Source organism: Homo sapiens, chromosome 3 (assembly GCF_000001405.40).
Source record: "Homo sapiens chromosome 3, GRCh38.p14 Primary Assembly".
Taxonomy (NCBI): Eukaryota; Metazoa; Chordata; class Mammalia; order Primates; family Hominidae; genus Homo; species Homo sapiens.
The window spans coordinates 8484549-8506112 of NC_000003.12; the positions used below are offsets into that span (position 1 = coordinate 8484549).

The following is a 21564-nucleotide window of genomic DNA, read 5'->3' on the forward strand; positions in this document are numbered from 1 at the left end:
AAGAGCTCCAAGTGCCCATTGGAAGACATAAATCAGACCATGTCATACCCCAGCCTGAGGCTAAGATCTGCCTGTATCAATGTCCTTCAGCTGCTTTAACAAATAATTACCACAAACAGTTGATGGCTTAAAACAACAGAAACAACTTATCTCCTGTTTCTGAAGGCTGGAAGTCCAAAATCCACATCACTGGGCTAAAATGAACACGTCAGCACAACTGTGCTCCTGGCTCTAGGGGAGAATCCATTCTTTGCTACTTCCAACTTCTAGAAGTTGCCAGCATTCCTTGGCTTGTGGTTGTATCACTCCAATCTCTGTCCCATGTTCACATTGCTTTGTCCTCTTCTGTCTGTGTTGACTCTCCCTCACCTCCCTTTTATAGGAACACCTGTGATTACATTCAGAGCCCACCTGGATAATCTTCCCATCTCAAGATCCTTAACATAATCGCATCTGCAAAGTCTGGTTTTGTAATATCAGATAACATTTACACGTCCCAGGGATTAGGATCTGGATACCTTTCGGAAACCATTATTTAGCCTGCCACGTTGCCTTTCCATTACACACAATAAAATCCTAAGTCTACTGTGGCCCATAATGTCCTACTGATATGGCCCTGACCCACCACTCAGGCCCCATTTTCTTCCACTTTTCTCCTCTCCCAGCCCACCCCGCCGGTCTACTTTCAGGTCTTCAAGTATGTTCCTACCCCCACAGCCTTTGTTTTTGCAGTTCCTTTTGCTTGGAATGTAATCTTGGCCTAATGTGCTGAGTGAATGAATAGCTTATTCCCACAAGCTCAGAAAAGACAATGGCAAAACTAGAAGGAGCAGCACGGCTTGAGACTAACTTTGCCTGCTTTTCAATTTGACCTAGAGAGTTTTCTGGTTAAAGATGTTTTTACCCCCTCTTTTTTTCAATTACCAAATATCCCAAAATAGCCACAGTTCTTAGTTATCTGTGGGCTCTCTAGAAGGGAGTCACTTTAGACAATTGTAGCCATCTGAACTGGATACTAATGGAAATCATGTCACATGGAACCATCTCCAGGTTTCTTGTTCTTGTACAAACAAGGCAGTCTGAGAAAGTCCAATAGATTGGCATTCCAATCTATTTTGACTTCCAGCAAGAATTTTGATGAGGCTGCTTCTTCTAGTGCTTGATGAATGCTCATTGTTGACTTTGGGCAATTTTACAAAAGCCACTGCTTCATCCTGCTCTGGAGACAGAAGGCCTGCCCATGGCTAAGTGGCCTTTACTTACCTCCTGACTCTGAGAGCAAAGCTATCATTAAATGGAATTTCTAATAGGTTATTATGATGAAAACATAAATATAAGGAGGTTCTTTTGCCCCATAAAGAAAGATGCTAACTTCTGTACAGTTATACAAATCAATATCAGCCACTATATTATAGATAGTGGGTTATCTAGAGTGACCAATTCAACTCATTCTGGTTTGCCTGGGACTTTCTCTGTTAGGATTGTAAATCCTGCATCCCGGAGAAACCCCTTAGTCCCAGATAAACCAGGACAGCTCGTTGCCCTAGTAGTAGCTACCTGGCCCTACCACTTGGTGAACTCAGGGCAAAGGGTATAAGTGGAGACCCACATAGCATAGGTCTAAATATGTAAGAGTTGTAAATCAAGCGAACACACTGTTGAATAAAAATATGTTCTCTCCTCCTACCATGACAAATGTTTTTGAAACAATTTGGCAGTTAAGATTTGAATTCCAAGTTCTTGAACTTCTCTCTGGATCCTGGTCTGTCTCCACCTACTCTTCCCACTTCTAGGTCTGTTCCACACCTCCAGGCGTCTTGCTCACATATATGCCCAAACTCCATCTATATCCCATACACAGCCAGCTCTTGGTTATTGCTTGGGCCTGGGGTAAATTGTTATGAGGTTCATCTTGGAAGCAAATAAACCCAGGAAAGAGGTGTGCTCTGCTCTGGAAGTGGGATTAAGACCCTTCAAAGACCCTGAGTGGGGACTAAGGTACTTAAAGCCCGGCCTAGAAGGAGTGGGTAGCCTAGATGAGGGCCAGAGTGTGGTCCTCAGGACTGGAGCCACTCTTGCCTGGGCATGAGGGTGATGCTGGTAGTCATCACTCGCTAGAGGCCCCTTGTAATTGGAAACCATGAAATAATTTCCAGTTTCCAAATAAACCACCAGGTCCTTCTAGGCAGAGGTTAGAGTTGTTCAATCTAGAGAAATAAAGTTGCACAAAATCTTACAGATGCCCTCAAACTACTCCTGGAAAGAACTAAGGTCCTCGCTAGAAGAAACAATTGTAGTGCAGTAGAGGAAAAAAAAAATCATGTAGCAAGAAGAAAAGCTGCTTAGAAAATGACTCTCATGCCTGGAGATTTATAAGAAAATTATCTGCCACAGAGGAGACCAAGAGCTTGACAAACTCATACTTCCAAGTTCATGTTAATGCTAAGATTTCTGTTTTCCTTCATGGGATTTACTTTGATGGATGATGCAGACGGCAGTGGAAGTATCGGTAGGTTCAAAGGACTGCCTGCTCAAAACGACTTGTCTGCTTTTGCAACCTAATCATGCAAGTGTGGTGCATGCCAGGAACTCTATGTTAAGTAAATAACAGTACAGATGATAAGAGGTGGCGTGAAAAATCATGAAAGTAGAAAGTGATGGTGTCATAGTGCGAGATAAGCTGGGTTTAGATAATGCCTCTGCAATTTACTACTGGTGGGGCTTAGGTGAGTTATTTTGCTTATGTGAGCCTTGGTTTGTTTCTAATCAAAATAGGGATCCAAAGAGTACCTACCACATAAAACTGGTATGAAGATGGATTAAGATACAGCATGTAGGCCAGGTGCAGTGGCTCACGCCTGTAATCCCAGCACTTTAGGAGGCCGAGGCAGGTGAATCACGAGGTCAGGAGATCGAGACCATCCTGGCTAACACGGTGAAACCCTGTCTCTACTAAAAATACAAAAAATTAGCCAGGTGTGGTGGTGGGCACCTGTAGCCCCAGCAACTTGGGAGGCTGAGGCAGGAGAATGGCTGGAACCCGGGAGGCAGAGCTTGCAGTTAACCAAGATCGTGCCACTGCACTCCAGCCTGGGCAACAGTGAGACTCCGTCTCAAAAAAAAAAAAAAGATACAGCATGTAAAGAACTCAACCCAGTGCCTGTAGCCTGATAATTGTTCCAAAATATTTCTTACCTGTAGTAATAGAAGTGGTGGTGGTGGTAGTTGTAGTATGACACAAGTAGAGTAGTACTAATCATTTTCAGGAACAGGCAATAATTGTAGCAATATGAGGTGTAAGCAGATTAGTTGGTGATATGGTTTGGCTGTGTCCCCACCCAAATCTCATCTTAATTATAGCTCCCAAAATTCCCACATGTCTTCGGAGGACCTGGTGGGAAGTAACTGAATCATGGGGGTGGGTCTTACCTATGCTGTTCTCTTGATAGTAAATAAGTCTCATGAGATCTGATGGTTTTATAAAGGTAAGTTCCCCTGCACATGCTCTCTTGCCTGCTGCCATGTAAGACATAACTTTGCTCCTCCCTTGCCTTCCACCATGACTGTGAGGCCTCCCCAGCCATGTGGAACTGTGAGTCCATTAAACCTCTTTCCTTTATAAATTACCCAGTCTCAGGCATATCTTTATTAGCAGCGTGAGAATGGACTAATACAGTTGGATTCTGAGATTCATTTCTCTTGAGTCTGGATGAGAAGGAGTCCACTTTAGTGATAATTGAGATATTGGGTAAAAGAGTCCTTTGGGGGAAGGAGAAGATATATGGATGAAGCCTGAAAAAAACTGTAAAATGACCAAATGGAACTGGCAGGGAAACATGAATCATTCACACCTTCATTAGAATATGCAGCACTGTGTCAGCCATGCCTTGAGCATAGAGCCATCCTAAACCATGTGGGGGACACCAAGAGAAGCTTCTGAGGATGCTCCCCAGCATACTCACAGTTATGAAGACTCCACCTGAGTCACTGCAGCAAGTCAGTGACATCTTAGATGATAGAAGATGGGTCACTTACTGGCAAGCCTGTATCAACACCCCCCCTTAGCAACTGTCCCTATCACTGGCCAAACTTAGGTACTACACGATCTGTAGATGAATCACTTCTAAATTAAGCATGAAGATTTCCAAATTAGTTCAAAATGATCTAACATCTAGACAGAAGGTACATAACGGAGGACGGGAACATAAGGAGTGGGAAAAAATAGAAGGTTATGTTCTTTGAGAAAACAATTTATTTTCTTTTGAAAGGCAGGACCTATTTTTGCAAAAAATGACTGACTCACTTTATTTTTTGGATCATTGTAAAGGAAAGAGAGTGTGTGTAATGCGTTGCTTTACAACCAAATAAAGATGTCATGTGGACATTAAGCTTTCTAATTTGGTTTATATTATTCCAGCTACAATCAAAATGCACACGTGAATCTAAGATTGATTCATTTCTGGGTTGGATTGCCTAACGTTCTTTCTACTGTTATAAGTAACTTCCCGAAAAACCTTTCTCATGCTTTCTGGGACTCAGGAGCATAGTTCACCCTAAGATGCCCTCTGACCTGGTCACCCCAATTCTTCCTCTTGTACCCAAGGGCTGTGAGCCTCACTGCAGGATTACTGGCTCTTTGGGAGTAAACTAGGAAGTTCCTGAGTTCTCGAAGCCTTTTGTCACAGCTTTTCCAGTTCCTAGGCATGTGATGGGGGACAAGCATTCATGGTTATTACCAGGAGCTCAGAGAGACCAGAGTTCAACTCCCATCTCTGCCACCTGGCTCGGCATGACCACAGACAAGTTGCTTAATCACTTTGAGCTTCAGCTTCCTCATCTGTGAAATGGGAGTACTCAGAGGCCCTAACTCTAGGATTATTGGGAGGATTAAGTGTGACTATCTTTGTAAAGGGCTTGGCTCAGTGTCTACCCACATGGCAAGAGCTCCACAAATGTTAGCTCTTACTCTTTCTAATGGAGGAGTGTTTGGAGTTATTTATTTAGATGTCCTAGAAGTTAAGCCACTGGAATCTGATACTTTTGGTAATAGAGAACTATAAGCGCCAGCCAGACTCAATTTTTCTTGCCTCAAGGCCCATTCTTTTCCTGTCACAATGCTCCCATTCATTACCTTTTGTTGTAATTGTTTGTTTAACATCTGTCTTCCCCAAGAGAGTGAATCCTGTGTGTCTTTTTACATTGCTGCATGCCCAGCAGAACTCTTGATACAGAAAGAGATGTGCAATTGTTATTTGTTAAATGCCTGAAAGACTGCTCCACAGATTGAATAACTGAGTGATTCAATGAAAAAAAGAACAAACTAAATGATAGAAATTGGCCATTTATATTCAACTGGAGTATATAAAAGTAGTTTGCTAGCATGACAAGAGGTAGGACTACAGAATTGTAAATTTTACCTAGGAAATAGTAAGGTCTTTAGAGGAACACATAATAACTATTTCTGAATATATCGAAGAGTTTAATTCTGTGTTTGCTACCCATCAATGATGGGATAGGGAGGAACACCCTACTGCAAAGCATTACTCACTTCACACTCACATGGCCCTCAAATTGTACATCCCTTCCACCCTCCGTCATAATCCAGGATCTGTTTGACAGCTTCTGACTTCAGTGTGACTATCCATGTCAGATGACGTCATTGCTAAACCATGTGTCTTGGGTTGTGAGAAAAGCTAGGAGAATCAACAGGAAGGCCCAAAACTTTTAAAGCTTAATTTCTGATAAGTAAGAATCTTTCCTGAAATCTCCCACCCACTCTTTTCTTCTGGGTGAGCTCATCCAGTCTTTCCAGAAAGACTGATCAGCAGCAAGGCATTGCTGGACTTTGTCAGGGGGATTTGGTGTCTTCATACCTTGTTCATCAGCCACGAACACACTCATCTTTCAGAAGCTTTGGAATTCTGCCCGTGGCTGTCTGGACATTCTGCTGCATTCCCAAGGGGCCTCTTGGGATGTGCATGGTTAGCCACAGAAAATCCAAATTATGTTTTTAAATTATTACCTGCCTTGTGTGAACAAACTAAAATGGCCATTGAGCAACATGCTGACTATCCTATTTTCCTCCTAAAAATCTGTGGTTGTGATAAGTGGAACAATTATTTAATGCCATTTTTTGTCACAAGCGAAGAATGGACTCCCAAATGCAGCCTGGGCAAAATCTCTTTTTTTTTTTTTTTTTGAGACGGAGTCTCGCTCTGTCGCCCAGGCTGGAGTGCAGCGGCGCGATCTCGGCTCACTGCAAGCTCCGCCCCCCGGGTTCACGCCATTCTCCTGCCTCAGCCTCCCGAGTAGCTGGGACTACAGGCGCCCGCCACCACGCCTGGCTAATTTTTTGTATTTTTAGTAGAGACGGGGTTTCACCGTGTTAGCCAGGATGGTCTCCATCTCCTGACCGCCTGAGCAAAATCTTAAATGTCACTGGGAAGAGTTTCTCAGAGAACCAAACATGATAGCTAACTACCTGGCAATTGGCAAATAATTATACAGCTACCAAGTATCAAACACCTTCTCCATGCCAGGCACTAGGCTGCACGCTGGTTATTTAATCTGTGTGCCAGGACTATGAGGTTGGTAGTATTGCCTCCATTTTATAATAGGTGGATTGAGGATCATGGTAAGTAGCCAACCAGGGATTTGAACCAAATTTGTCTGACTCCAAAGCAGGAGCTTCTACCCCCTTACAGGTCATACCAGCTTACTGAGATAGGAGGGGAGGGCCACTGCCCACAAAGTGGAATATAATGGTGGAATCAAACTTAAGCAGAGTACCATAGTGCCTAAAATACGGAGAGGAGAGGAGGAGAAGGCCTCTCATGCGCATGATCCTAGCTTTCTAATAGATTAGCTGTCATCATGTGGGAAAGGGAGAGCCCTTCAAATAGATTCCAGAGGCTGGAAAAGCACAGAAGGGTGACAGCCCCAGGAAAGCAGATGTCAGCCCAAGGTAAAGAAGAACGTTCTAACAATCAGAGCTGTCCAAAAGTCCTTGGAACTGGCTGGTTAAAAAAAAAAAGGGGGTGGGGGTGGGGGAAATGAGCTGCTTGCCATGGAAAGCATCCAAGCAGAGGGAAGCACACCCTGTTGGGATGCTACAAAGTTAGGGGATACGATACCTTTGAGGCTCTGTCCAGCTCCCAGCCCCTCTGTTTGCTTTGGGAAGATGCTTACTAATCCCCCTTGCCTGCACGCAGCTACTGCCTGTTGCAGATATGCATGTAAAAGAATCTTTGCAGAATCAGTCTGACATGACAGTTTCATCTCCCTGGTGATGAAGGAAGCAATATGGGGAACTGTTATTATGAATTCTATTCATGACAAACAAGGAAGAACTGGGTGGACATTAAAAGGGAAGGGAATCTTGGGAGAGGCAGGAAACTATGGGTGTGGCTCTGTGCCAGGCAATGGGTGGGTGCTCTATGCACATCATCTCACTTCAGCTGGGTACCTCCCTCTTGATGCCGGGCTCATCATTTCCATTTCACAGCCAGAACAGCCCGGGAGAGAAGTCAATTTGCCTGTGGCCACATAGCTAACGAGTGGTGGAGCTAGGGTTCGAACTGAGATATGCCTGACTTGGAAACCCTCACTCTTTCCTCAGAAGTATGCTGCCCAACCCAGCGAGGGGAAGGTGAGACAGGGCACTGAGAGGACAGTAGGCAGGACAGGTAAACTTTGATGGGCAGCAGATGAATAATGAGGCTGCAGCACAGAGTGGGACACAAACGGCTAGGACACTGGGTCAGAGGGAGGGGCTCGGGCAGGTAATCTCATCATTGAGGAAGGACGTGAAACTGGAAGAAAATGGATCAAGGCAGACATCCCCTTCTTCACAATTGATTCTAATTTTGGCCTTGAGCCCAAGCTACAGAAATTGATTCCAATCACAAATGATGCAGGGTCACAGATAGGAGCTCAGACACAGGTAACATTCAGAAGCGTCTGCACCATTTTTTTTTTTCTAGAAAATGACATGATTTCAACATCCCATGGGGCAATGTTACCAGGTAACATTATGTTTCCCAGAAGGCTTTGGAGAATTAAAATGCCAACATGGCAAACAGAATGGAAAATGTGATAATGGGAAAAATGCTAAGGCTTTAATTATACTGATTTTATCTCCTCTCTGTCTCTTAAAGTCTCCTGGAGAACACAGGTGCTATAAGACTTCCCTCCTCCGCTCACTAATTAGAGATTCCCTGATGGGAACATGCCCAATTTTCCCTATTTACTGGTGGGTACAAGGTTATTCTAAAATGGAATGTTATTCTAAATAGGCTACATAATTAGGTTATTGAGGGTCACCTACAATTAGCCCACAGGTGTTAAGTGATGGGTAGGGAGGAGAGGAAGTGGTTTTTATCTCTATCACAGATCCTGTAGCATAGCACAGCTTGGCACACGGTAGACACCCAAGAAGTGGTCGCTGGTATTTTAGCTATGGTTTTTACTTTTTCTCAGTGTTAACTTTGAAGTCTGACCCATGTGAGTTCAATTTCGGGCTCTGCAACCAGCTATGTGACCTTGCAAAAACTACTTAACTTCCCCAGGGCTCAGTTTGCTCTTCTGTAAAATGGAGATAAGATCGCCTGACTCAGGAGAGTGTCAGGAGGATTCAGTGAAATTTTGTGTGGATAGAGCCTGGCAACATCATGTTGGTGGTAGCTCAGAAATAGCACCTGGTACCAATTATCCTGAGCGTGTCCCTTGAAGCTGACAGTTCCCTCTTTGACAGGCCAATGTAAATCCACAAGCCAGCCCCCTCCAAGCTACTTCACCCCTGCCACTACTCTCCCTTTCCCCCAAGAATCAAAGTGATTCTTAGACTAAGAACTTGGAACTGCAGTATTGCTCCTTAATCCTGTTCAACACACTTTCTCAGTGAGTCATAGTGACACCTCATTCCCTGAGGGACACGTAGATAATGACAAGGACTTTGCTATATCCTGCTGCAAACTCTACGAAAGTCAGCAAATTACAGAGATTCGGCTCAGTAAGAGGGTCCCGCTCAGCAAATTGCTCTAGGTTCCCTACTATCGCCACTTACAACGAATCCCCAAAGAATCAAGAGGAGATTAATGCAACTGGTACCCCTGGTCCAGGAACCCTTTCCCCATGGAAGGGCCATCAGGGCTCAAACCATACTTTTGCAGGCAGCCCCAGATCCGCTCCTCACAGCAAGCCCTATTTTTTAGGGGCAATTTTTATTGATAATTATTTTAATGACAATATTTTTCTTGCATCTCCAACTTACAAGTCATTTTTATGTATAGGCATTCCTGAGCATAAGAAGTCTGATGGCCCAGGATTAGATTAGCTGAGGGAAAAGTACAAAACAGAAAGTGAAGGAAACCACTCACGAGAAGTGTTTGCCCACCTGTTGCCTCGTGGCCCAGTGATAGGCCCTGGTGCTATTTTCCATGACCCCATGAAAATACTGATGGTGGTGACTGTTGGCATCGCTTGTGTTCTTTGTATTTCTTTAATAAGGCAGTTCCCATACTTGAAGAGCCCGCATTTTTAAAGATGAGGAGACCCTGGCACAAGGGACTCAGTGCCTAAAGTCACTGTCAGTGGCTGAGGAAGAACTCAGCAGTCAGTCTCCTCATGACTCAAGAGCAGCCAACAGACCAGTCTAGAAGGCTGCTAAATTTTTATCTTGTCCTCCCAACACCTCTAATTGGCCTTCCTATTCTAATTCATTTCCAAGCCTCCAATTCTTTTAATTAATCCACATACTAATAGACAAAGATAATATAAAAGAAACATACCGGGCAGTCTATATCTGAGCAAGCCGGCTAAGGCTGCCCTAGGATCATCTCTCAAACTCACGGTTGTGTCAGCGTGGGTTAGTGTTCTGGCTGCAAATACTCAAAGGGGTAGCTGAAGGGTTTATTTGTAAGGGAGAAAGCATGATTCAAGGACTCCCCACTGGTTCCCACAATAGCGGAAAGCAGGGACCACCCCTAGGCTGGAAGAGGCCAAGGGAGAGAGCAGTCACCAGACCAATGGGAGCTGTGGCTTTAGGTAGGGGGGATGCCACCCCCTCCAAAACCCTGCCCAGCCCAACAGGGAGGCAGTGGGAGAATAAATACACCCACCCCTGATTTCCTACCAGGACCGCGGACTGGCTGAATCCAATGGGAAGACAGCAAACTCGTTCATGCGTGCAGTCCAAGGATGAACTTCCTGGGCACAGAGCTGGAGGAGGAGGGAAGAGAGTGAATCTGAGGGGCACATGGAAAACATCCAGAATAGTTCCCAAAGGCTGGGAGTCCAGTCTCTCCATCCTTGTCCAGGCTATGTCCTCACCCTGAAACCAGGGGTCTTCTGAGCAATCCCAGTGTGAGTTTGGATCCCAACTAGCAATGAGGCCTGGAACAGCTTACTTAACCTAGCGGAGCTTCAGTTTCTCATCTGCAAGTAGGAATAACACACTTGCCCCTGGGGTTGTTTTAAGGATTAAACTTATAAAGCACTAATGGCACATTGGAAATAAAAGGCATGTGTTCGCTTCCTTCCAGCTACCCAGAACGGGGGCTTCTCCAATTCTGCTGCCCGAAACAAAAATGATAGAGGCTTGACCACATGCACACACACCCTGAGAAGATGGATAGGCTGAATGTGTCATTAAATAGTACACTAGTTAAATTAAATGTATAATATGGTTAAATCCTCCAGGACCATAGCTAGAGTCATCTCCTAGATGCTAGAATAACAGAAAATGCTGCTTTAAAAAGGAGATACTCAGTTTATGGTACTTAGTGCCCCAGGAAAGTATAAGATTCAAGAATCAATTAAATGAAGTCTTTCACTTTTTAAAAATAGGTACCGAGCTTTTTTACCCCAAGAGAATTAAATCTTTAAAACAGAACCAGGAGTGATGGGGAAGATAGTGCATTGGTTTTCTATACTGTGTAACAATACCACTAATTTCACAGCTTAAAACAATACTCTTCCTCTCTCATGGTTTCCATGGGTTGGGAGTTCAGACCTGGCTTAGCTAGGTCCTCTGCTCAGGGGCTCATAGGGTCTGAGCCAGGTGTCAGCTGGGTATGAGGTCTCCTCTGAGCCTCAGGTCCTCTTCCAAGCTCACGTGGTTGTTGGCAGATTCATTTCCTTGCAGATGTAGAACTCATGGTGGCTACTTCTTCAAGGTCAGCAGGACAGAAGGAAATATGACTCCTGTCTCTCACTTCTATACTGTCTTTTAGAGGGCTCACCCATCTAGGTCAGGCTCCCTTGGGAAAAGGTCCCTTTTGATTACCTTATTGGGGATCTTAATCACATCTGAAAAATCCTTTCACCTTTGGCATAAGACACAACAGTATTCTGGGAGTGATATTCCAACACCTTGGCTGTATTGTATTGGTTCAGAACAAGTTAAAGGTACCACCCATACTAATGGAGAGGGAATAATACAAGGGCCCAGATCTTTAGAGGTCATCTTAGAATTCTGCCTATTACAGACAGAGACAAACAAGTGGATACACTGTGTAAGACAGGGGAAATTAAGATCATTATCCCCATCTCCCAGAGACTCCAAAGTATCTTGTTCAAATCACCCAGCTTGCCCCTGCGATGGAGCTAAACATGCAGATTTTCTAGGACTAAGGCATGTGTGCCTTCCACTCCCTTATTAATCTGTCAAAGAAGGGAACGGCCCCATTGCACCATCAGGTGGGATGTGTGACTGATATGCAGGGCAAGTTTATCACTCACCCCCAGTAAATCATGACAAATTTGAATTGCAAGATGATGGTCAGCCACATTTTTAGCAGAACCAGGATCAAAATGCAGGGCTCCAGAGTCCTGATCTATTGTTATTTTGTAACATAGAAACACATTTTCCTTGTGTTTTCCACTGCCCTTGTCAAAGACTGCATGGCAAGACACTGCTTGGGTCAAACAGTCATGTTCTGTTTTGATCCAGATGTTTTAGCCTTATAGGCAAAAACCTTCCTGGTTCTAAGAGGTCATCCAAAAACCTGGAAAAAATTAGATAGTTATTTTAAAGTGAAGGTTACCATGAAAATGACAGGAAAGAAACCAAAAAACTTAAGTTGTGAGTAATTCACATATATATGGTACAACTGTTGGTCCAAGTTGATACAAATTAAGGTAGAAGGTTCATGTATATTTATATTGTTAATTCAGATATACTGTGTTCCATGGACCATTTCTGTCTACCGATGCTTAAGTGTTAGTTGTTTTTAATGAATACAATATGTAAAAAAATAATAATAACCAAATAGGATTTGGTTATAATTTAATTTAACTAGTGTACTATTTAATGATACAAACAACATATTATTCATGTTTTCACATTGAAATAACTTGGGCCCTGCTTGCTACATTGTAACAGTGAAAACATCATTGTGAGCCATGATTATTGGGGATTTATGAAGGTGTTGGCATGAAACCAAAAGAACTGGGTTCAAGGTCTTTCTAGTTCTGCCCCTTTCTAGCTTTGTGACTCTGAGAAAATCACTTGTGCCTCCCAATGCAGTATTTAGAACACATAGTAGACCACACTGCACCAATCAATTACCAGCTTCTAATTGCTCAGCTTCTCCACCTGAGAGTGAGACGTTGCGAGTTACTGATAGCTTTCCATTAGTACTTTTGGTGTCCTTGCTGTGAGTAACACAGTAAATCAGACATTGTCATTCCCCTGCTTAAGACTCTCTATAACTGCTCTGCTCAATATGGTAGCCACCAGCCAGATGTGGTTGATGGTAGCTAGATGGTAGCCACCAGCCAGATGTGCTTATTGAGTATTTGTGACATGGCTAATCTGAAGAGAGATGTGCTGTAAGGGTAAAACACACACCAGATTTCAAAATGAAGCACACACATAAAAAAGAGTGTAAACCATCGCAATAATTTTTATATTAATCACAGGTGGGAATGACATTTTAGTTATATTGAGTTTAATAAAATATATAATAGCTATTTCACCTTTTTCTTTTTGATTTTTTTTAAATATGACTATTAGAAATTGTTAAATTACATACATGGCCTGCATTGTGTTCCAGTGGGAAAGCACTGATGTCTAACCTCCTGCCATTTCCAGGAGAGAACATAAACTCCTTAGCATGGTTTATGGGGCCCACATGAGCCAGCTCCTGCATGCCTCACCTGAGGCTCCTCATACCATTCTCCCTGACCCACTACACTGACCTCATGATCCCTCAGACATGCCACACTCGCACTCATCTCAGGGTCTCTGCTCTCATGACCCCATCCTCCTGGAATGTTCTCTCCATGGGGACTGTACTCACAGCTGACTCATTCTCCTTCACTGGGGCTTAGTTCACACACCACCTGCTCAGCCAGACCTTCCTGGACCCCCTAATCTAAAATGACTGTGTCCAATGAATTTCTCCATTTATTTCCTCCTAGGCACTCACTGCCATCCTTAATTACCTTATCTAAATATCTATCCACTTGTTTAATGCCTGTCTCCCCTACACACATTAGAATAGAAGCTATATGAGGGGAGGGACATTTCCTGTCTTATTCACTGTTGCATCCTCAGCTCAGGGCCTAATCCATAGTATTTCCCAATTCAATATTTGTTTCTTTAATTAATTTGTTCATGAATGGTAAAAAGAATACGAGACTCAGAGTCAAAAATCCCAGTTAGGACAAGCCCAGTGATAATGATGACAACAACAGCAGCATCTTAATCCAAGTGCTTCCTGTTTTGCTTATAATCAACCATCTGCAATCATTATGGAAGCAGTGCAGTATAGGTGAAAGGGTGCAATCTGAAGTTAAAAACTCTGAATTTAAATTTCAGCTCTGCCACTTGCCAGCTGTATGACCTTTGATACAGCCCTGGGACTGTTTGGGATTTCTGTTTTCTCTGAGACTAGTTGTCTTGGAGTTCAAGTAAGATTAGGGCTCTGTCAACCAGGGAGCCCCAGAAGTAGTTATTAGACCAATATGTTCTCCAAGGAGAAGAACTCTTTTATTTACCTTGATGTTTCCAGCACCTATCAGAGGGCTTGGCTTATGGCAAGTATCCCAAAACTCCTTGATAGATGAATGAATGCTTCTAATAATCCCGTGTCAAAAAGCGATGATCCTTGGAGAAATCAGATCTCTACTCTTTCAACTAGGAAAAGATATCCAATTTTCTTCCAAAGAGAAGTGAAGAGGACCTCAGAGCTGGAGTGAGGCTCAGGTGCAATAACTACATTTCCCTCATTCTCCTGAAAAGTCCCAAGTTGTAATGGTCTGTCCAGGTGTCCGGTTAAGTCTCTGAATATAGGTCCCCTGGAACAAGAGGGTCAAGTGTAAGGTTTAAAGTGTCAAAGTCAGAATCCTCAGCTGAGGAGACAGCAACTTCTAGCAGATAGCAGGGATCCCCTCTCTGCCTACAGCAGGTCTTTTTCCAGAAAGAAGGGAATGAGCCACCCCAAGCAACAGCTCCTGACACTCGTGTTCTGAGAAATTCTGAGAAACAGCTGCAATATCTGCCTCCTTAATTGTACCTGGAGCCAAGGGTAAAAATAAGGAGGGGGAGAGACTCTTGTGGTTGGAGCTATTAATAAATAGTGTTAACTTAATAAAATTAGTATTATTTCATGGAACAATGATTTTTCAAGATGGGGCAAGGAGGGTGGCTGGGAAGGGAGTGGGAAATGACTTCACTGGGCAGGCTTTTGCCTCGTTTGAAAGGGATAAAGCTTGCCTTTGTTATATTCCTGGCTTCTGTTCCCACAGCTCTAAAATATAAAGGCTTCTGGCATGACATCCTGATTTAGCACTATTGTTCCTAGGATTTGCTACTGAAAGGACTATTCATGTGGAAACCTCCTCTCCCAGGCCAGGCTTCTGTTGGCCACTGTTTATTTACATACTGGTTTAACATGCAGCCTACCTTGGAAGTTTGGACAAACCAGGCCAGGTGTGCCATTGCACCATCTCTCCCTATTCTTACTTTGCCTGCTTACTGCATGGAGGTAGAGAGTAGAAGAAGGTTACCAGAGGTTGGGAAATGGTGGGCTGGGGTGTGAGGGGATGAACAGAGGTTGGTTAATGCGAACAAACACTGTCTGATAGCAAGAAAAAGTCTAGCATTCAACAGCACAGTAGGGTGACTATAGTCAACAACAGTGAATTGTATACTTCAAAATAGCTAAAAGAGGCTAGGTGCGGTGGCTCACTCCTGTAATTCCAGCACTTTGGGATGCCAAGGTAGGAGGATCACTTGAGGTCAGGAGTTCAAGACCAGCCTGGCCAATATGGTGAAACTCTGTCTCTACTAAAAATACAAAAATGAGCCAGGTATGGTGGCTCATGCCTGTAGTCCCAGCTTCTTGGGAAGCCGAGGTGGGAGACTCACTTGAACCTGGGAGGCAGAGGTCACAGTGAGCCGAGATCGCGCCACTGCATTCCAGCCTGGGCAACAGCGCGAGACTCTGTCTCAAAAAAAAAAAAAAAAAAAAAAGAAAAGCTAAAAGTGATTTGACATGTTCCCAGTACAAAGAAATTATAAATGTTCAAGGTGATGGAAATCCTAAACACCCTGATTTGATCATTACACATTGTAAGCATATATCAAAATACCACATGTACAATCATGATGTATCAATAAAAAAAATAAAAGCCAGAACCCAACCTCTATTCATTTGCCAAATGTGTACTGTGCCTATACCACATGCTAGGTGTTTGAGGACATAGCTGGGAGCAAACAAGGCAAAAATCAATTATAGCAGAAATCTGTGAAAAAAGAAATAGGTCATCCCTCATCTTGGAAAAGATAAGCCACAAAAAGCCCTTTCCAGGAATATGTAATAAAAAGTCACAATTCAGGATCCCTGGCTGAGATTTGGGATGACTGGAGATGATGATAAGAACTAAATTGGAGGAGGCTTTCAAGAGGAAAAAGCCTCCAGCAAGAGACAGCCCCACAGTGGGAACTGCAGCCTCCCCTTCTCACCAAATCCCTCCCGAATGGTGTACTTCGGGACCACTCTTCAGTCTCTGTGCAACCGAGTTTTATTTTAGCCCACGGGACCCTGGTTTTTCTGGCAGGGGGCACTGCAAAGACGGGTTACAGGCCGAACACCTCACAACAGAGACAGCAGTATTCTCTCTAGGATAAAAAGGGCTTGTGTTTAATCCTCTGTCAGGGCAGGGGGGAAATGCCTCTGGAATCCAAGTCTGTGGAACCGGCTCAGCAGAGAGATGTGGCTTTATAGGCAAACAACGTGGCATAGAGAGAGGAACCTGGCCAATTCTGTCTTATAAGAGTAGTTATGTTATGCGTTGCAAGGACTCCACATTCCATGGATTTGTGAACTCAGATGGAATCTTGTTTGTCCAGGCCTGCATGACCCCATTTATCTAAAAATTACTAACTTCCTAGTTTATAGTTTACAATCCTGTGCCCGCCGCCTCCCTCCCCCCCCCCGCCACGCCCCCATGAGCTTTCTCTCTATTACTCTCAGTCTCTCAGGTTAAAGCCTTGCTCAGTAATTCAGCTGTGGACCAGTTATTCTGATTATTTCCTCATCTATCGTCTTACAGTCATAATAATAATAATATCTGAGATAATATGAGCATACAACAAGACAGTATGTCCACAGGAGCATCTCTAAGATCAGGACAGTGATTTCTTGCTCATGGAATAAGAAGGATTTATGTTAAAGCAAGTTATAAGAAAGCAGTTTAATACTTTACGAACGTTAAGTTTAAAAAAATCATAACTCGCTGGAATCTTTTCTCCTCTCTGGATATTGGAGAACTCGCCCAGGTTTGGGAAACGTTAGCCAGCTCCTGCAAAACACCTCCTCCCTCAGCCCTCCCCGCGCCCCCTACGACCAGGCAGAAAGGGTGGGAAGGGGAGCACAGCTCAGCATTTATTTCTGGATCCAGCTCACTAAAAATACCTCGGCTCTCCTGTTTGATCACTCTCCCTTTTGACCTGAATGGATCGCGGGAGCCGCGCCGCCCGCCCCACCTTCGGCCCGTTGCCCTTTAAAGGAAAAGGGCGTGGGGACGGATTCCTGCCGCTCGAGGGATAGAAGGGAGCTGGGTAGTCAGGGGCCGCGGCCATGCTGACGTCAGGGCAGCCGGCGCTCAGCTCCGCTCGCTGCCACAGTGCAGAGACCTCCCTGAGGGAGGGGGACAGCCTCGCGCTGGGATTGGCTGGCCTCGCGCGAGCGCCGGCGCGGAGTGGCTGGCGAGGTTTTAGAGGGAGTCCCGCTCTCCAATTAAAGCGGCCCAGCTGCGCCTGGCTGCGCACAGAGCTCCCTCCCAGGCCCGCGAACTTGGCCATTCAGCCGCCGCTGTCCCCGCTGCGCGCCCTCGCGCCTCTGCCTGAGAAGCCAGGCGCTGTTCCCCCACCCCAGAAGAGGATGGCAAAGGTGGCTAAGGACCTCAACCCAGGAGTTAAAAAGGTGAGTGGAAAGCTGTTTGTATTTACCCAGATTCTTACTTTTTCTTGTTCCCCTTCCCATCTGTTCGCGGAAACTTCCCAAAAGGTAATGAGAAGGGAACTCTTTAAATTCCAAAACTGCATGGAAAACAAATAGTTGGGAATACATGTTTGAGCTAACAGGCACACACACCCCAAACCCAATGTTGTGTAAAATATTTGCAAAGGGTCTTATGTCTTTGGTGATGCTAGTTAAAGTTTAATTAAGGTTTTACATATATATACAATATATATAAAATGTATATAAAATATATATATAAAATATATATAATATATATTATATATAATATATAAAATATATATTATATATAATATATATTATATATAAAATATATAATATATATTATATAAAATATATATAATATATATTATATATAAAATATATATAATATATAATATATATATATGAAATCTTATGGTCTGTAAAGGAAAAACCCCTAGCTTCCTCACTCCCTGTCCTCAGGTGGCTGAAGTAAGGGTTGAGAGCATGTAATATTTACTCACAGTCTCCCTTTTGCTATTATCCCAGTGTTTTGTGTGTTTCCCCCAATACACACACACACACACACACACACACACACACACACACGCACGCAGTTTCTTTAGTTGGTGATGTTGGCAGTGGCAGCAGTTCCAGCATAAGGGAACTGATTTCTGTCCCCAGGGTCTGCACGTTTCCCTTACAAGAAGGGCTGGCCCGGAGCCCAGAAGGTCATGGGTAAACTCCTGCACAGGAGCCTGCGGCTGTGCCTATAGCTCCAATACCACTTGTTGCCTACCTGAATGCAGCTGGGAGAAGGCACAGGCTGGAGACTTAGAGAACATGTGAACGGGAAGGGAACAGAGAGACAACCTAGGCTTTACAGATCGGGAAACTGAGGCCCGGGGTCACAGAGAGTTGGTTCTAACAGGCAGCTGACTGTAAGGCAAGCCCTAGGCATCCAGACTCAGTCCCTGCCACTTTTTAACTGCACATGATTCACCAGGTCACTTTTCTGAGCCTCAGTTTCCTTGTCTCTGATGTGGGGAGGATAGGCCTAACCTCCCTCATGGCAGTGGTAGCAGGGATACTGACACTGTGAGTTAATTTCCCAAAGCAGTCATTGTTAAACTCTGATTTCACAGGGTTTAGTCTTGAAGGGCAAAGTCTTCCTTAAATATCTGCCATTAACCTGCAGGGTAGAATGAGAGGGGGAAAAACAAAAGACGTGAGAATCAAACTAAAGACACAAACAGCCACTCAGAGGCACAGCATGCACTGTCTAATTTGTAGCTGTGCTCTTCTGTAGACCACCTGCCCAGACCCTGTCACAGAGTCCAGTGGATCCTTCTAAATGTGGGTACCAAGTCACATTGAATCTGGGCATTTGTCTGGAATGTATCATGCCTCACTGCATTTGCCAAGCTATTTGCAGAATCAAGTCATTTCCCCTCCTACAGAAATTACCATAACATTTTAGACTCTTAGAAGATACCTATTAATTGCTACCTAGTAGTGAGTTATGCATGCAATGCTCTTATTTCTCTATACATTTTTCTGGACTCCTTGAGGGCAAACCTGTCTTGTTCATCCCTGTTTGAACATAGCACACCATGCCACACAGCAGGACTCAAAAACCTGTGGGTGACTCATGAGAATATCTGTCCAGCTAAGACCACACTGTTTGCATAGGCTTCATTTTATGCATTATTTTTTAACTTGTAGCATTGATATTTGTGTGTCTGAACTGCCTCCCCAAGTTCAGACACAGAATAGTTCACGGCTAAAGGTGGCAGAGTTCCATTGTCCTCTGGAAAGTGAAATGATTCTGAGTATTTTTAATATAAGCTGGTTGATAGTTACTGTATGAGGTGAGATGAGGTATATGGAGACTCCTCCTCCTCACCACAGTCCTGTGTTGCCACTTGGAGGAAGCCTTGTTTTTATTTTCCTTTGCATAGGGGAGTGTGATTATCCTGATTAGAGGTGGAACATGTTCTCCTTCTTGTCACCCCCTAGTGCCAACTTCCTTGGCCTGCAAAGGGTTTGTTTTCCATTTAGATCCAATTACAGGCTTAGAGAAAGAATGTGGTGGGTAGAGATGAAAGGGCAGATTTTTTTTATCTCTTGGGACTGCGACAATCAGGAGGAAGATCACCATTTTGTAGGTTAACCAATGCCTTCAACTCAAAATGTGGAGGGGAGGGAGGAGAGCCGAGAAGCTCCCCTTGCTGAACTGAATGTCACAGAAGTGATTAAGTACTACGTGATATCAGCAACACGCTGAAAAGCTTTTACTGCATATTTATTTTTTAAATCTGCAACAGTATGTGGGGGAGGTTTATAACATTTGGCTTCAGGATGCATAATCGCACTTAGACATTTTGAAACAATTTCATAGACTCTTAGAGCTACAAGGGGCCTATTTACAAAATGAGAAATGGTTTAAAATGGCATACAGGCTGTTTCCGCTTCCCTACCCCCGAGGGGGCTGGGGCGGGAATCCCCACCAACTGGAAAGTCATAAAAAGATCTTCAGCAAAGAACATAAAATCTAAAAACTGGAGTAGACTTAAAGGTCATCTAACCAACCCCAGACAGGCTGGGGAAAGAGACTCACTGGGGGCCACATACATACATCGTGGCAGAGCTTACAAGTTCCCTAACTTCTCTCTTTCTTTCTAAGTAAAATGCTTCCACCGGCTGCTCTTGAACCATCTTTTTTTTTCTATTAGGAAAGAGAAGGTTTCCTAGCACAGACAGTTCCCTGAGAATGGTGAAATCGCCAACATTTCTTGGTAACAAAGGGCCTTGAAGGCCAAATGCCATTTTTCTGGGTGAAACCAATCTCGACTATGGATTTGTTCTTGTTTATTAAGGATGCAAGTTATTAGTGCAGGCTTTGGCTTCAGATCTGGTTTAAGTCCCAGCTCCCCCACTTACTAGCTGTGTGCTCTTGGGCAAGCTAATTAACTTTGAGTCAGTATCCTCACCTCATTTGAAAGTTGAAGAAACAGTAACAGCATCTACCTCCCAAGATGGCTGTGATAATTAAGTGAGATGATGTACATAAAAGGCTCAGCATATGGGCACTCAGAGTTAGCCATGGCAGTCCTTGGTGGTGGCGGTACATTTCAGTGGGTGCATGGATGCGGAAAGGAATTTTCTGGTGAATGAGGACACTTTTATTTATAACTGCCCCATCTGAAGAGCACCTAACTTTCATTCAGCTGAACCTAAGCCATTGCTCAGCTTTGACAAGCTAAGACAATGACCAAATGCTGTTGCCTTCATTCTCACCCAACGGGTGCAAAATCTGCTTACATGGAACAGTCTTTCCTTCTGAACATGGATTGCCAGTTATTGAGCATTTCACTTTGGAGTTATATAATGTTAGGCCTCGAAGGGGACTTGGAGTGCCTTACTTTTTAGATAAGGAAACTGAGGCCCAGAGGGATCAAGCTCCTTATCAGAAGTTGCAGAGAAAATGTACTGAAGCCTATTAGGCTCTGCAAGAATACAGACCCCTTGACTGTCAAGGAACCATCTGTAGGAATTTAGAAGGGATTAGAAGAAAGAGAGCTAGGAACCTGTTCATAGTTGACTGTGCAGTCACCAGTGGGCTGGCTCCAGAGGGATCCAATTAGAAATTCTCACCCCTCAACACAATGCCCAAGGGGCATTAAATGATGGTACTTCTAAGTCCATTGCCAGGTCCACCTGGATGTCTCTCTCCATGCTTCTCTACATCACATCCCTCTTGGCTTTCCTGTCCTTCAGGCTAGGCCTTCCCTCTGTACTCAGCCCTTCCTGCTTTCACCTCCACTTCCTGCAGTGTGCCAAACTACTGGCACATCACCCGGGTGAGCTGATCCAATGTAAACACAGCTCCTCGTGAATTGTCGTTGGCTCTCTCAATCTTAAAAACATATTAAACTGTCACTTAAAGACCTTAATAGCCAAGACATTGGAGACATGCCCATAGGTGTATAAGCAACTTTTTTGCCATAATAGAGCCTTGTTTTTTAAAAACAGAAATTATCCAAGTCCCTTTTACATGCTTTCTAAAAACAGATGCTGAAACCATTACTTTGTGAATTGCAGATTTTTGTCC

General features: G+C 43.9%; 1 protein-coding gene and 1 long non-coding RNA gene across 5 annotated transcripts in view, besides 2 other annotated features; one reads left to right on the forward strand and one right to left on the reverse strand.

Moving 5' to 3' along the window:
- The window catches only part of LMCD1-AS1 (LMCD1 antisense RNA 1), a 280512-nt gene extending 263402 nt beyond the window's left edge, over positions 1 to 17110 (reverse strand). Inside the window, exons 1-3 of the long non-coding RNA NR_033378.1 lie at positions 16923 to 17110; positions 14002 to 14301; positions 10133 to 10218 (exon numbers count right to left, since the gene is read on the reverse strand). This is a non-coding gene — a long non-coding RNA (LMCD1 antisense RNA 1). The remainder of the gene's footprint in view (positions 1 to 10132; positions 10219 to 14001; positions 14302 to 16922) is intronic.
- Positions 13929 to 14862: an enhancer, noted in NCBI's record as "OCT4-NANOG-H3K27ac hESC enhancer chr3:8540163-8541096 (GRCh37/hg19 assembly coordinates)". NCBI's record gives its function as "activates a minimal SCP1, AML or CMV promoter by ChIP-STARR-seq in naive H9 embryonic stem cells {active_cell/tissue: H9 hESC(naive)}" and the evidence as "EXISTENCE:reporter gene assay evidence [ECO:0000049][PMID:30033119]".
- Positions 14863 to 15796: an enhancer, noted in NCBI's record as "OCT4-NANOG-H3K27ac hESC enhancer chr3:8541097-8542030 (GRCh37/hg19 assembly coordinates)". NCBI's record gives its function as "activates a minimal SCP1, AML or CMV promoter by ChIP-STARR-seq in naive H9 embryonic stem cells {active_cell/tissue: H9 hESC(naive)}" and the evidence as "EXISTENCE:reporter gene assay evidence [ECO:0000049][PMID:30033119]".
- Positions 17111 to 17274: 164 nt separating the features above from the next.
- LMCD1 (LIM and cysteine rich domains 1) overlaps positions 17275 to 21564 on the forward strand; it is a 72846-nt gene continuing 68556 nt past the window's right edge. For all 4 annotated transcript variants that reach the window (NM_014583.4, NM_001278234.2, NM_001278233.2 and 1 more), the window contains exon 1: positions 17275 to 17432. In NM_014583.4, the coding sequence (NP_055398.1) occupies positions 17391 to 17432 (42 nt within the window). In that variant the 5' untranslated portion in view covers positions 17275 to 17390. The remainder of the gene's footprint in view (positions 17433 to 21564) is intronic.